General features: G+C 37.0%; 1 protein-coding gene across 21 annotated transcripts in view; it reads right to left on the reverse strand.

Moving 5' to 3' along the window:
- The window catches only part of PDE1A (phosphodiesterase 1A), a 576,757-nt gene that overhangs the window by 38,061 nt on the left and 524,295 nt on the right, over nucleotides 1–14,401 (reverse strand). For 18 of the 21 annotated variants that reach the window (XM_047444688.1, NM_001395258.2, NM_001395259.2 and 15 more), the window contains 3 exons: nucleotides 10,878–10,959; nucleotides 8,367–8,487; nucleotides 7,791–7,978 (listed from right to left, as the gene is read on the reverse strand). In XM_047444688.1, coding sequence (XP_047300644.1) covers nucleotides 7,791–7,978; nucleotides 8,367–8,487; nucleotides 10,878–10,959 — 391 coding nt within the window. Of the gene's footprint in view, nucleotides 1–5,210; nucleotides 5,330–7,790; nucleotides 7,979–8,366; nucleotides 8,488–10,875; nucleotides 10,960–14,401 lie in introns of those variants that run through there. The other 3 variants (XM_011511324.4, NM_001395264.1, XR_007076388.1) reach the window with 2 other exon arrangements.

Consider the following 14,401-nt stretch of genomic DNA (forward strand, 5'->3'; position numbering starts at 1 on the left):
GTTATAACAGGCTCATGCCTATTTAGACAAGGAGACACAGGGGTTGTTACTAAGCTACCCCAAAAACAAAGGCATCTATCCTTTGTCTTCAAATTCAAAAGCCACATCCATGCATGGCTAAAAGGTTTTTGGAAAATACTTAATCAAGTTCTACCTTCCCACCCATACTTCCAGAGGAGATCCAGGTTTCTCACTCCCTGGACATGGATCTAGGTTTTCCCTAAGAGAAGCAAAAAGGGGTATGAAGGTGCCATTCAAATTGGAGGAGGGAAAAGCTTAACTCCTTACCCTTCCAGTGACATATTTTTCACCCCCTATGAAACCAAAAGTAAGGTGTAAGGGAGAAAAGAGTTGGAAGATTCAAGAGACTTAGACAGTTATAGTCTGAGACGGGACCTGCTCTCTGAATTTGGCCATCCCTGTGCATTTTGAGTTATTTCCGAGGGAAAAACAAGAAAGAATTCTGAGAAAAAGTCAGGGATCCAGGGGTTAGAGAAGATCTTTGTCATGTTCCCTTATCCAGCATTCTGAACAAGGTGGGTGTTCTCAGCATGCAAGGAATAGAGGAGGGGTGGCTGTGTAGAATGTCAGGACAGGAGAGCCTGAGAGAGCGCCTGCAGTATTCAGTCAACCCCAGTGACTCTGATGTGAAGACCAGCCTGTCCTTCAGCCCTGAGAAGTACAATGAGAAGGAGAAGAAAAGAGAGCAAGCAAGCTGTGGCAAGCAAAGATGTGGGGGCCTGCCGTGGGAAAGCAAGGGGTCAGAGTCAGAAGGTGATACCAGCCAAAAACCAATGGGGGCTGTCTGTCTGGAAAGATGAGAGAGAGGCCAGAGGTCAAGCAAGAACCTGATGCTCATCTGAAATCCATTAATACCACAACATTAGTCCCCAGGGACTGCAATGCCATCTAAAGAAGGAGGAAAGAGAGGTCAGAAACCCTGGATTGACCAGGCTTACTCTGATTCAGTCAAAACACTTAAATGATAAGCTTATATTTTCTTCAAACAGGTAGCATGAGGACATAGCTAGAAACTATGTTTGGTCACAGAGAAATAATGAAGGGTATATTATTTATGCACCTGATTTGTGGCCTAAGGATATGATATGTACAGACTTAAACAAAACACTAATATTTAAAAAGTATCTGCACAGTATTTGGATTTTTTTTTCTGTCTCATGTTTTCTGCAAGATCCAGAAAACTCCTGCTGAAACAGAACAACATTTGTGTTGTCATGGATAAATTTTAAAAAGCATCTTGTTGAGTGGAAAGCAATTCACAAAGGAATGTATATGGCACAGTTCCATTTATATTGTTTTAAAACAGACAAAACTAAATTATACATTGTTTAAAATTATACAAAGAGGGATAACAGCTTAAAAAAAGAATGATTATCACAAAATTCAAAACAATAATTAGCTCATGGGTGGGAGAGAAGGAAATAAATGATTAGAGAAGGCATAGAGAGAATTCCAAGGGCATGGCAAGATCATATATTTCATATTTTGGGGCCTAGATGGTAGGTTTTCTACCTCTCTCCTTCCTTCTTCCCTTCTCCTCCTTTCTCTACCCCCTCCTCTCTCGTCCTCCCTCTTGCGCTCTGTCTCTCTCTTTCTTCCCTGCCTACTGCAGATAATCATTTGAATTTCTACTTTGTGCCAGTCTCTGTTCAAAGAGCTTGGGATACATCAGCAATGGAAACAAACATCTTTATTTTAATGAACCTTATTTTTAAGAGGGTGAAGTAGATAATAAAAATGAAGCATAATAGGTCAACAGTCTCTCCCTGCTCTAGGACTAGGGAGATGTTTTTGCGATATCTGTGAAATAGAGCTTAAGGGTTAATATGATGATGAGCAAACATCTGGAATTCTCTTCAAAGCCCTGATGCTTAATTAATATTCCAAAGCTCTAAACATCATATGACCTGCTTATTTTAATCTCAATGCAATTGTAATAAAGAAACTTTCATCTTCAGCGTATAAGACTAGAAGTGGTAGGTACTGGAAAATTAAAATGGCAATATCTGATACTCAGTGACTTTAAAATTGATCACTATGTTAGTAGATGCATTTTAATAGCTTATCATTGTTTCATTTTTATGCAATATTTCATGTATATAAATGAATTATAGATACATATATAAAGCACATGTTAGACATAATCATAATCATAATGATAAAATGAACTTTTGTGTGTCTAGTGCCCAATCTAGGAAGTAAAATTCTACTTATTTCTAATAATATGAAATTTTAGGTTGAAAAATTCTTATCTTTAAGAATGTTGAATATTGAATATTGTATATTGCCCTCACTCTCTTCTAGCTTGTAGGGTTTCTGCTGAGAGATCTGCTGTTAGTCTGATGAGCTTCCCTTTGTAGGTGACCTGACCTTTTTCTCTGGCTGCCCTTAAACATTTTTTCCTTTGTTTCAACCTTGGAGAATCTGAAAATTACGTGTCCTGGCGTTGATCTTCTCATGGAGTATCTTAGTGGTGTTCTATGTATTTCCTGAATTTGAATGTTGGCCTGTCTTGCTAGGTTGGGGAAGTTCTCCTGGATAATATCCTGAAGTGTGTTTTCCAACTTGATTCCATTCTCCCAGTCTCTTTCAGGTACTCCAATCAATCGTAGCTTCAGTATCTTCACATAGTCCCACATTTCTCGGAGGTTTTGTTCATTCCTTTTCATTATTTTTTCTCTAATCTTGTCTGCATGCCTTATTTCAGCAAGATGGTCTTCAAATTCTGATATCCTTTCTTCTGCTTGATTTATTCAGCTATTGATACTTGTGTATGCTTCATGAAGTTCTTGTGCTGTGTTTTTCATCTCCATCAGGTCATTTATGTTCCTCTCTAAACTGGTTATTCTAGTTAGCAGCTCCTGTAACCTTTTATCAATGTTCTTAGCTTCTTTGCATTGGGTTAGAACATGCTCCTTTAGCTCAGCAGAGTTTGTTATTACCCACCTTCTGAAGCCTACTTCTGTCAATTAATCTATCTCATTCTCTGTCCAGTCCTGTGTCCTTGCTGGAGAAGTGTTACAATCATTTGGAGGAGAAGAGGCATTCTGGCTTTTGGAATTTTCAGCGTTTTTGCACTGTTTCTTCCTCATCTTCATGGATTTATCTACCTTTGATCTTTGAAGCTGATGACCTTTGGATGAGGTTTTGTAGGAGGTCTTTTTTGTTGATGCTTTTGTTGTTGTTGCTTTCTGTTTGTTACTTTTTCTTCTAACAGTTAGACCCATCTTCTGCAGGTCTGCTGCAGTTTGATGGGGGTCCACTCCAGACCCTGTCACCTAGGTTTCACCAATGGAGTTTGCAGAACATCAAAGATTGCTGTCTGCTCCTTCCTCTGGAAGCTTCAGCTCTCCTGTATGAGGTGTCTATTGATCCCTGTTGGGAGGTCTCTCCCAGTCAAGAGGCGCAAAGTCAGGAACCTGCTTGAGGAGGCAGTCTGTCCCTTAGCAGAACTGGTGCACTCTGCTGGGAGAGTCCCCCTTGTTAGGGTCAGCTGCTCTCTTCAGAGCCAGCAGACAGGAAAGATTAAATCCGCTGACCCTGCGACTGCAGCTGCCTCTCCCTTCAGGTGCTCTGTCCCAGGGAGTTGAGAGTCCTGTCTGTAAGCCCCTGACTGGAGCTGCTGGATTTCCTGCAGAGATGCCCTGCCCAGTGAGGAGGAATCTAGAGAAGCAGTCTGGACACAGCCGCTTTGCTGTGTTGTGGTGAATTTTGCTTAGTCCAAACCTCTCAGTCTCCTTCACACTGTCAGGGGAAAACCGCCTACTAAAGCCCAGCAGTTTGCTTATTTTGTGCAACACTGTGTCCTTCATTCCTGTGGTGATTAGTTAAATTTTAACAGTTTTATACTGTTCCATAATATGTACATACTACAGTATATAAATCAATTTTACTGTTTTTTACACTTTATTTTGCAGTCATGAACAATGCTGCTGTGAATATTTTAGACATGTCTTTGATGCATATGCACAAAAGTCTCTCTGGGGTAAAAATACAGAAGCAAAATTGTCGAGAAGTATGGCACATGCATCTTTAAATTTCCTACAGAATGCCAAATTGTTCCATGAAATGATTATATAATTTTACCTATATACAAATAATGTGTAAGAAAACCAAAAAGCCTGGCATCATTTTTGATTCTTCTCTTCACTTTGTTTCCTACATCTAATCTGGTAACAAATCCTATCAGTTCAGCTTTCAAAATATCTGTATATCCAGAATCCAATCTCTTTTTGCTTACCCTCCTTCTACTCACACATACTGCCACAATCTTTACATATCCAGAAATTATAGACCCTCTCAACCATTACTACTTGGTCTAAGCTCCCATGTGTCTCCTGGGTTATGAACAACAGCCTTCCTTCTGATCTCCTTGTTTCTATTTTTACTACCCAAACAAAAGCACATTTTCCATTCTGTAGCAGAGTAATCCTTTTGAAACCTCAGTTCAGATCAATCAACATTTTTTCTCAAAACTCTACATTTGGTTTCCTGTCTTTCTCGGGCCAAAACCAAAGGTCAGGCACCACATTCCCCACTCATCACATTGCCTACATTATTCCCACTTGTCCAATTTCTTCCTGCTTCACTGCCCTTCTTGTTGTTTCTGGCATGTCAGGCAAGCTTGGCCTCCTAGATAATGTGGTAGCCAATCCGTTTTAAAAATTTGTTAACACCCACCCTCCCAGACCTCTCCATCATTCTCTTTCTAACCTCCATTGTGTATTTATTTAAATTATTTCTTCCTCAGTGAAGGCTTTCCTTACCAGTTTACTATATAGAAATTATCCCCAATTTCCATAGTAATTAGATTTTCTTAATCTGGTAATGTCTTTATTTTTCTTTATTTCTGAATAGTTTTGCTGGATTTAGAATTCAGCATTAGGGACACCCCTAGTTTCTATATAGTAGCCCTATAACCCTTATTTCTAGAACACATGGCAGAAACATAAATAATATAGTAATAACAGCTAACTCATATAGCGCTTAGTACTCTAGACACTTCTAAGCAAATTATATTAATAAACTCATTTAATTCTCTTAAAACCTATGGTGAAGAGGAATACTTCCTGCTATAGTGATGTAAAGAAGTCGAGTTTTTTCTCTTCATGAAAAAGCAAGTGTAAAACTGGACAGCATTAATAAAAACAACTATTCAATGACTCTGGAAATCAACCAAAGGGACATAATAATTTGAGAAACATTTATTCTTAAAAAATTGTTGGACATTCAGGTAAAAACAGCAGGAACCTGTGACCTTCTTGCCTGAAGTTACTCCCACTCCTCCATCTTCCTCTCCAACTCTGACCTGGGAATGGAAGCAAAAGCCAACTTTCCTGTTGGATGTGGTAGAATCAACTTGGAATGGGAAGGCAGCAAATAATTCTGGTTACTTGAATATAAAATGGTGAATCCACTTAGACTAGATGAGGAGAGCCCCAAGCTTTGTCAGCCTAGGGTTGGGGTCCAAGTTGGGGTAAAGGGTAAACCAGCAGGATTTAACAGAAAAACCCTAGAAATTAGAGAGCCATAGAAAGGCCATTTATAGTCAGTTTTAAAATTGATTTCAAAAAATTCAAGACAAGTTTTTTAAATATGTTTTTAAAATTAAAGAAAATAATCTTGAAGAATTAAAGGAAAATATGCTAACAATGAATGAAAATATAAAATATCAACAGAGAAATAGACATTATAAAAAAGAACCAAATGGAAATAATAAAATTGAAAAAAGTAGCTGAGATAAAAAGTTAATTCAGTGAAATCAACAGCAGGATTGAGGTGGCAGAGAAAGAAACAGTAAACTTGAAGATAAATCATTAGAAAGCAGCCAATCAAAAATGAATGAAGAAGGAAGGAAGGAACAAAAGAAGGAAGGAAAGGAAGAGAAGAAAGAAAGAAAGAAAGAAAGAAAGAAAGAAAGAAAGAAAGAAAGAACAATTAAAGAAATTGACAGAGATCCAGAGCATCCAGGACAATTTCCAGAATCCTAAGTTATGCATAACACAATCCTCAGAAGGAGAGAACAGAGAGAAAGAGGCAGAAGAAAAATATTGAACAAAATGACAGAAAGCTTTCTAAATTTGAAGCAAATTATTAATTTGTGGATTTAAGAAGCTAGTGAACACTAAGTAGAATACTGAAAAAAAAAAAGACCTAGATATATCATCATCAAATTGCTGAAAGTCAAAATAAAGTCTAGAAAACAGAAAGAAAAAGATAATACTCAGTACATACAAGGAAGCAACAATACAATTTATTTTTGGCCAACACTATCAGAAACTATGGAAGCCAGAGGCAATAGAATTACACATTAAAAGTGCTAAAATAAAAAAAAATCATTCAACAATTCTAAATCAAGTAAAATTATTCATAAATAAAAGTAAGATACAGACATTCCCAGATAAAGAAAATCTAATTGTTTGTCAGTATAACTGTGTTATAAGAAAATACTTGAGAAAGTACTCCAGTGTGAAGAGAAATGATACCAAATAGTAGCTCTGACACACAAGAAGAAATGAAGAATATCATAAGGGTAAATATGTGAGAACATACAAAAGATTGCATATACGAATGTGTGTGTCTGCCATCTGTCAAGTTCTGCAGGAATTAATGTGCTATTTTTGGCTCTCTGGTCTATTCCCAAGGCCCATCTTATTATCTCTATATCACAGCCACACTAAATTTATTACTTCAGTATAAGAGTAAATTTTGATATATGGCAAGTGCTCCCACTTTATTATCCTTCAGGAGTGTCTTGAGTATTCTTAGGTATTTGCAATACCATATAGATTTTAGGATCAATTTCTTAAATTCCATGAAAAATGTATTGGAATTTTCACTGGAAACATGTTATATTTATGGTTGACATTTGGGATAATTGAAAACGTTTCAATATTGTGTCTTTCTGACTATAAATATGATTTAACACTCTATTTTGATCTTATATTATCCATTTTAAGAAAAGTAAGTTTATTCCTGAGTATATTAAAGCTGCAAAAAACACAAGGAAAAAATTTCTGGCTGAAAAAATAACTACAAAGACCCTGGAGTATTTTAAGAAACTTCCAAGAGGCCATTGTGCAGGGAGTGTAGTGTATAAGGGAGACAGAGCTGTGGGAATGAGTGTGAGAAGAGGCAGGGGCCAGATCTGGATATGAAAGCTAATTCCTGCACGAAAGATAATAACTGTTTGAATACTAACTCACAAACCTACTAAATGGACTAATTAATTTGAAGCAGCTAATATGTCAGAAATAACTGTAGCTACCTTCCCATGCGATTGCTGTGGTGGTTGATTACTAATGATTTCCCCAATTCCTGTCTAAATTCTGAGTCAAAAAAGCAACTTAGTGAAACAGAAAAAAAACACACCCAAGTCTCTGACATGAAGTGATAACACACTTAATGCAACACAAAAGCCACTTACCAAGTAAAATCCAGGCTGGAAAGCACCTCTACGAAAGCACAGGAGTTTATATGGTACCACAAAGTTTTGTCACCATTTCATTATCTCATCTTTCAGTATCCAGTTTGCCAGCACCCACTGACACACAGATCTGCAGCCCATGTGGCACAAACAAACCAGAACCTCTTTTTATCTAATAAATGAGCCAACTTTCTCATGAATGATCAAAGAGTAGCCAAATTCCCAATACCATCAAGGGCTTACATATTCTATAGAAGAAGAAATCTAGAAGAAGTAATCCAAACTCTTAGAGGAGAAGTGAAGACAGAGAGAGATGGCAGTAAGGCCTCATAAACAACACTACCTTGTGCAGCTAACTCTTTCCACCTCTCTTTGTTCTGCTGAATGATGTCCACCAGGTTGTTCTTGAAACTCTTCAGGTCCACTGCTGCAAGGGAGTAGTCTGGGGAATAGGACCCATCACTCATGGAGCCTTTTGTATTTGATCGTCTTAGTGCATCAGCAATGTGTAACCCCACAATGGTGGTTGAGCTAACAGTAACAACCAAAGAAACCAAAAAACACCATCAGGATATGGGGTGAACAAGGAAAACCTGAAAAACTTTACAAAACCGACTAGAAAAGCAGGATAGTAGATGCTCAGTCCCAGTTCTGAGCACGTGGCAGCTGCTCATCTCCTTTCTCTCCCTCCCCACACTGGATTCTCCTTAGTACACACCTTACTTAGTATTTCATATTTTGTGTATTAAACTTCAGTTGTCAAAGGCAGATGCAATATAATATAAAGCCACTAGGTGGCAATACTCCCTAATAATTCTTGTGAGAATTCTCTGCCTAGATGTGAGAAATATAATCATTAAGGAAAGTGTTACTAAACACCACAAAGATGAAAAATAATGCAAAAAAGAAAATATCATACCTGCTTGCCACATAGGAAGAAGTTTCGGCTTTTGAGGCTTCCTCTATAAGAGGAATAACAATTTTCTCTGTTGAGTCTGTCAGAAGAGAAAATGTTGGCTCTACTATGAAATCGATGAAACCTACAAAAGCCAAAATGAGAAGAGAGAGAGATAAATTCAAGTGTTACAATTTCCTGAATTCTGAAATCAGAAATAATGAAGAGCTTCTGACAATCCTGGGATAGCAAGAATCAACTAAAATATTGGTTCTGCTTACCCTTTGTATTGTTTTAATCTAATAACAGTCTTTAGAGATGGTTTAACTGCTCTATAAAATAATACTTGAAGCCATGGAAGTGACACAATTTAAGCTTGCTAACTCAAGTATATTGGCTTTTCTATTTACTATTCAGCCTTATATAATATACGATTGCTAACAATACATTTAGATCCAATGAGAGTGACTATAGTTTCCTCTCTCAACACCAGGGATCATTATCTTTTTTGAAAGCACATCATGTGCATTTTGGATTTTATTCTTTACTAACAAGAAATCATATCTAAGCTCCAAAGAAATTAAATAATTGAAGGTTTTTCTCAGGTAACAGGAAGACAATTACTTTTTGTTTCTTACTATATCAGTCAGAGCTTTCTGCCAGTGTGTTAATATTTCAAATTGTTGTTTATTATTCTCTGGATGTAAAGTGTTAGTTCACAGCATGTGTGTGTGTTCTGTCAAATCAGTGAAGAGAAAAGTAACATCTCTGGGAGACAGCATTAATCCCACCACTTTGAGATGTCAGTACTGAATGAAGACTTTTACATTTAAAGTACTCATCAAGATAGAAAATGACACACAGAGAAAAGGGCATTGTCCTCTGGGAGCATTTTCCATCCCATGTTTAGGCAGAGGAGGAGACAACAACCTATTCTAAGGTCTGTGTACATGGCAATATCCCAGATCCCAGGACTGCTGTGGGTGCCTCAAGTCAAGAATTGTTGTTGGAAACACTTCTGAGAGCAATGGACTACCACCTGAATATAGGAGAATAGCTGGAGGTAGGCTTTTTAAGTGATAATGTCCTGTAAATATGCACATTTAAAGATTGTCCATCAGATGCTTGGATAAAAGTAATTCACATTTCAAGTAACTGGATTACTTATAGTATATAATAAGGCACATTTTTAATTTAATAAAACTTCAGTAGTTTTAATGGATGCCTTCAAGTTAAATCAGTGTTAATTGACCACCTAGGGTACTATTTTAAGTTCTATGTTCTTTTTTTGTTCTTTTTTTTTTTTTTTTTTTTTTTTTGAGATGGAGTCTCACTCTGTTGCCCAGGCTGGAGTGCAGTGGTGCAATCTCGGCTCACTGCAACCTCTGCCTCCTGGGTTCAAGTGATTCTCATGCCTCGGCCTCCCGAGTAGCTGGGATTACAGGTGCATGCCACCACGCCCGGCTAATTTTTTGTATTTTTTAGTAGAGACGGGTTTCACCGTGTTAGCCAAGATGGTCTTGATCTCCTGACCCGAGATCTACCTGCCTCGGCCTCCCAAAGTGCTGGGATTACAGGCATAAGCCACTGCACCCAGCCAGTTCTATGTTCTTAAATGCCTGAGATGTGTAGACTGTCAACTGGGGCATCACCTCTACTAACATGGCAGCAATTTGCATTACAGCAACAAGCCTCAGAAACTTCCATTCTTAGCTTGCCACATCAGGTCCTTAGCCTGCCACGTTTACACTTACTAAGCAAGGATAGGCACCTGTGTTATGGTCTCTAGAAAAACAGCTGTTGAAACTTGGATGGGAAGGGGAAAAGGTCAGAGCAGGCAGCTTTCCCCAACGCTTTGTGATGGGTGGTGCTGGAGCATAACTACACAGCTAAGAAGTGATCCTTGTGTTTATTGATCATATTGTTCAGTAACAAAAATGCTGGCTTAGGGAATAATTATTACAAGTATTTGAGCCATGCAACACATGTTTTAATAATGGACTGGACTTGAAGTCCCCAACACAAATACAGATGATAAGAATGAATGTGGTTGGGAGCATTATCATTTTGCAAATTTCCTGTTGTTGGTTAATCTATTCACATCATGACAGAATATTTTTCCAAATGAAATGTGCACTACTATATTAAGCATACCATGGAAACTTAGTGATAGAACAAGTGCACTAACATTTTCATTGAGTTGACCTATATATCTAAAGAATTAAATTACAGAAAACAATAATCAGCAACAAAACAACATAAAATGGTCTCCCACACAAGAAAATTTTATATTTTGTAAAAGGATTACAACCACGATAACAATTACATTTACTAATGTTGCTTTATTGAATTCATTTTGTGAAAATGCTTCAATAAGTCTTATTCAGCACCACATAGATCCATTTAAAAATCAAATATATCATGAATATGGAGTGAGGTTTTCATGCAAGTTACCCCTTTGAACAACATCGTTTACCCATTTGAAAACTGACAAGCACACACTCACTTTCCACCACCACAAATCATCAGAATTACCTATTTGTGACTGGGCCACCATGGTTGACTTCCGATCACAAAGTGGGGAAAATGGAAGCCCTAATTCAGCTTCTTTATCTCCCTGGAGAAAGAAAAGCACATTAATATAGACTTGGGTTGGAGAAGCTAAAATAATGAGCAACCTAAGATATAAAGCCTAGAAAAGCCACATCTTTCATTTCTTAATTAGCAATACTTTTTTCTTATTTATAAAACCAAAAGCTATGGTCCAAGTTTATATAATTTTTCTTGGATGGTCTCCATTTGGGGACATTTTGCAGGGAGAAAAATGAGGAATGTTTTCAGTACCTGGAGACTTTGCTTTGGCATTACAATCCCTTGACTTTTAAGAAACAAACATTTGCTTTTGGAATTTTCCAAAGTCACCATAAAATAACTAGCCATCTTATGTGTTATCTGACATTTAATTAACAATCCAAGTTAATTTATTTATGCCAAGTATATCAACAGACCTTTACTATCAAAATTTTGTGACGGAACTGTTTTTCAAAATTAAAAGTATATGATGTGAAACACCTTTCTATCCATTAACCAAGTTTTATTAAATCTTCCACAACATATAATGAGGAATTTCTTCAACATTCTTACATTCAGTGTGCATAAACTTATTTTAATGTTTTCTTCTCAGAGAAAATTGAAATATCAATTTTTTTATTATTTGATCTCATCTAAAATAGATTAATTGAGCACATATGTTAAAGAATTCCATTTATATTGGGGTTTTACTTCATGAGAAGTAATTAAATTTTCATCTTCTAAAACAAAGGTTGCTGTTCTGGTCAAACCTCTAATATCACAAGGTTTATTAAACTTTGGTTCTTTCCTTTGCATTAAAGGGGATGTGCTTATGAAAGAAAGAGGAGAGGATACTTCCTTGTTCTTGTTCATTTCAATTTCCTGGCCATTTGAAAGAACATTTTAGGTTCTATTTTCTCCTAATTTATTGGCTGTATACCTTCATGAGCAACACCAGCCTTGCATCATTAAGTCCATAACTTAGGATAAAATACGTAAGGACTCCACGGTTTCCTTTCACTCTGTTTCCATTAACATCTTTCTATGCTAATCTTTACAACATCATGTCAACATGTAGCTTTACAACTGTTTGAGAATATCTTCTAGAGCAGTTCCCCTAAACCATGCCTTTGATTATGAGAGTTATAGACAGAAAGTCTAGAATCAGAATTGTTGAGGAAAATCTAGATATGGCCATCAAAGAAGTAGGAAAATAGTTACAAACAGGAACATTTCACTATGTCATAACTCAGAGAAAACAAGGAATAAGAATTTCTGTGACCTCTGCCAGTAACTCCCCTAATTCCTCTGGATAATAATAACACTATTTCCATTTGAAATTGTGATTTATACTCAGCTTAAAGGACAGATGGAAGGGAATTATTAATGCCACTAGTCTTAGAGTCAGAAGATACAGTCAGCTGAATCGCTGCTGTCTAGGGGTTATTGCTGTTACTTCAGACACAGCACAGCCTTTGCTGAAATGAATTCTCCTTATCTGTTACCTAATTTTGTGATCTTGATTTACTTGTTTTAGGGATAAAATATAATAGATGTAATAGTATCTATCCTGAAGTTATCTAAGATTATTTATATGAAGCATAAAGACAGTGCCTGACACTTAGTAGTCATTAAGTTTAGCTAATAAGAAACATAATTTAGGTCAGGCACGGTGGCTCACACATGTAATCCCAGCACTTTGGGAAGCTGAGGCAGATGGATCACGAAGTCAGGAGATTGAGACCATCCTGGCCAACATGGTGAAACACCGTCTCTACTATAAATACAAAAATTACCTAGGTGTGGTGGCATGTGCCTGCAGTCCCAGCTACTCAGGAGGCTGAGGCAGGGGAATCACTTGAACCCAAGAGGTAGAGGTTGCAGTGAGCCGAGATTGCACCACTGCACTCCAGCCTGGGTGACAGAGCAAGACTCCATCCCCCCAAAAAAAAGAAAAAAAAATCCATAATTTAGAATAGCAACAACATGAATGCAATATGTACAAATTAAAGGTATTTATGATGTCTAATGCATACATTGAATAGTTTTAAAACACAGGAAATTGAAGTAGTGCTTAATTTAGCATGTAATAGAGAGGGATCATCTTTTTCTCCCTCTTTTTTCCTAGCAAGGAATTGACAAGAAAGGATTTCCACTTTTGAAAGATTAGTTTGTCTGCAGTATGAGAGATGACTTGGGGTGAGTTGAGGATGACTCCTTGGCTTCCAGTGCGAATGGAAAGGAGGAGTCTGTTGATGCCACTAATGGAAACCAGATGATCTGGGTGGGGGAAAGATTTGAATACTATTATTGATTTGGTTTCTAACATGTTGAGGATAAGGTGCAAGAATAATGTCATCAATCATTTATGTTAAAATATAAATACTAATATTACTATTGATGAAATAAAATAGAAATAAAGCTACCGATAGGCTTTTGGGAACCTGATATTAGAGATGCTTATTTAACATATGCTGATACAACTGCGTTTTATTCTTTTGTGTATTTGTTAGGTTGGTGCAAAAGTAATTGTGGTTTTTGCAATTAAAATTGTCAGTAGTCTTAGAATCAGAAGATACAGTCAGCTGTATCTTTTGCAATTAAAATTGCAAAAACCACAATTATTTTTGCACCACCCTAAATATTATAAGATTGTATCTATTAAATGCTGCTAAGCTATATTTAACTTTTTTTTTTTTTTTGTCAAGATGCTGCTATCTGGTATTTAAGGACACAAATGTAATAGATGTATTTTTATACTCTGTGGTACAAGCTCTTTGGCCCCAAAATGATAACTTTGGCCTGAGAAAGGCATTATGATGATTTACTTTCTTTTTTTTTTTATTTTTTTATTTTTTTTGAGACAGTTTCGCTCTTGTTGCCCAGGCTGGAGTGCAATGGCGCAATCTTGGTTCACTGTAACCTCTGCCTCCCAGGTTCAAGCAATTCTCCTGCCTTAGCCTCCCAAGTAGCTGGGATTTCAGGCGCCTGCCACCATGCTGAGCTAATTTTTTATATTTTTAGTAGAGATGGGGTTTCACCATGTTGGCCAAGGTGGTCTCGAACTCCTGACCTCAGGTAGTCCCTCTGCCTCAGCCTCCCAGAGTGCTAGGATTACTGGCGTGAGCCACTGTGCCCAGCCACTTTCTTGAGCTAAATTTTATAGAATGTTGAATGGCAACATATTTCCTATAGGGCTTAGGCATTTGACAGATATATGCAGGGATGACCTTCCTACAGATGGAGCAAGAGATTTTATATTCTATTTGCTTCCTGTACCTCACAATTAATTTAGAATATTAAATTTTCACTGTCAAAGCACATTGAATGCTAAAGTACATTAATTATTTAATTTATTTATAAATATTTCAAAGTATTATTTACTCTTTAGGGTGAATAAAGGCCATGAGTGCAAGATTAGTAGGGGGCCCTGTAGGTAAACTATGAAGGAACTAGAACTTTGTATAAAGAGAATGTTAGAATCTCTG

The sequence above is a fragment of the Homo sapiens genome, chromosome 2 (assembly GCF_000001405.40).
Source record: "Homo sapiens chromosome 2, GRCh38.p14 Primary Assembly".
Taxonomy (NCBI): domain Eukaryota; kingdom Metazoa; phylum Chordata; class Mammalia; order Primates; family Hominidae; genus Homo; species Homo sapiens.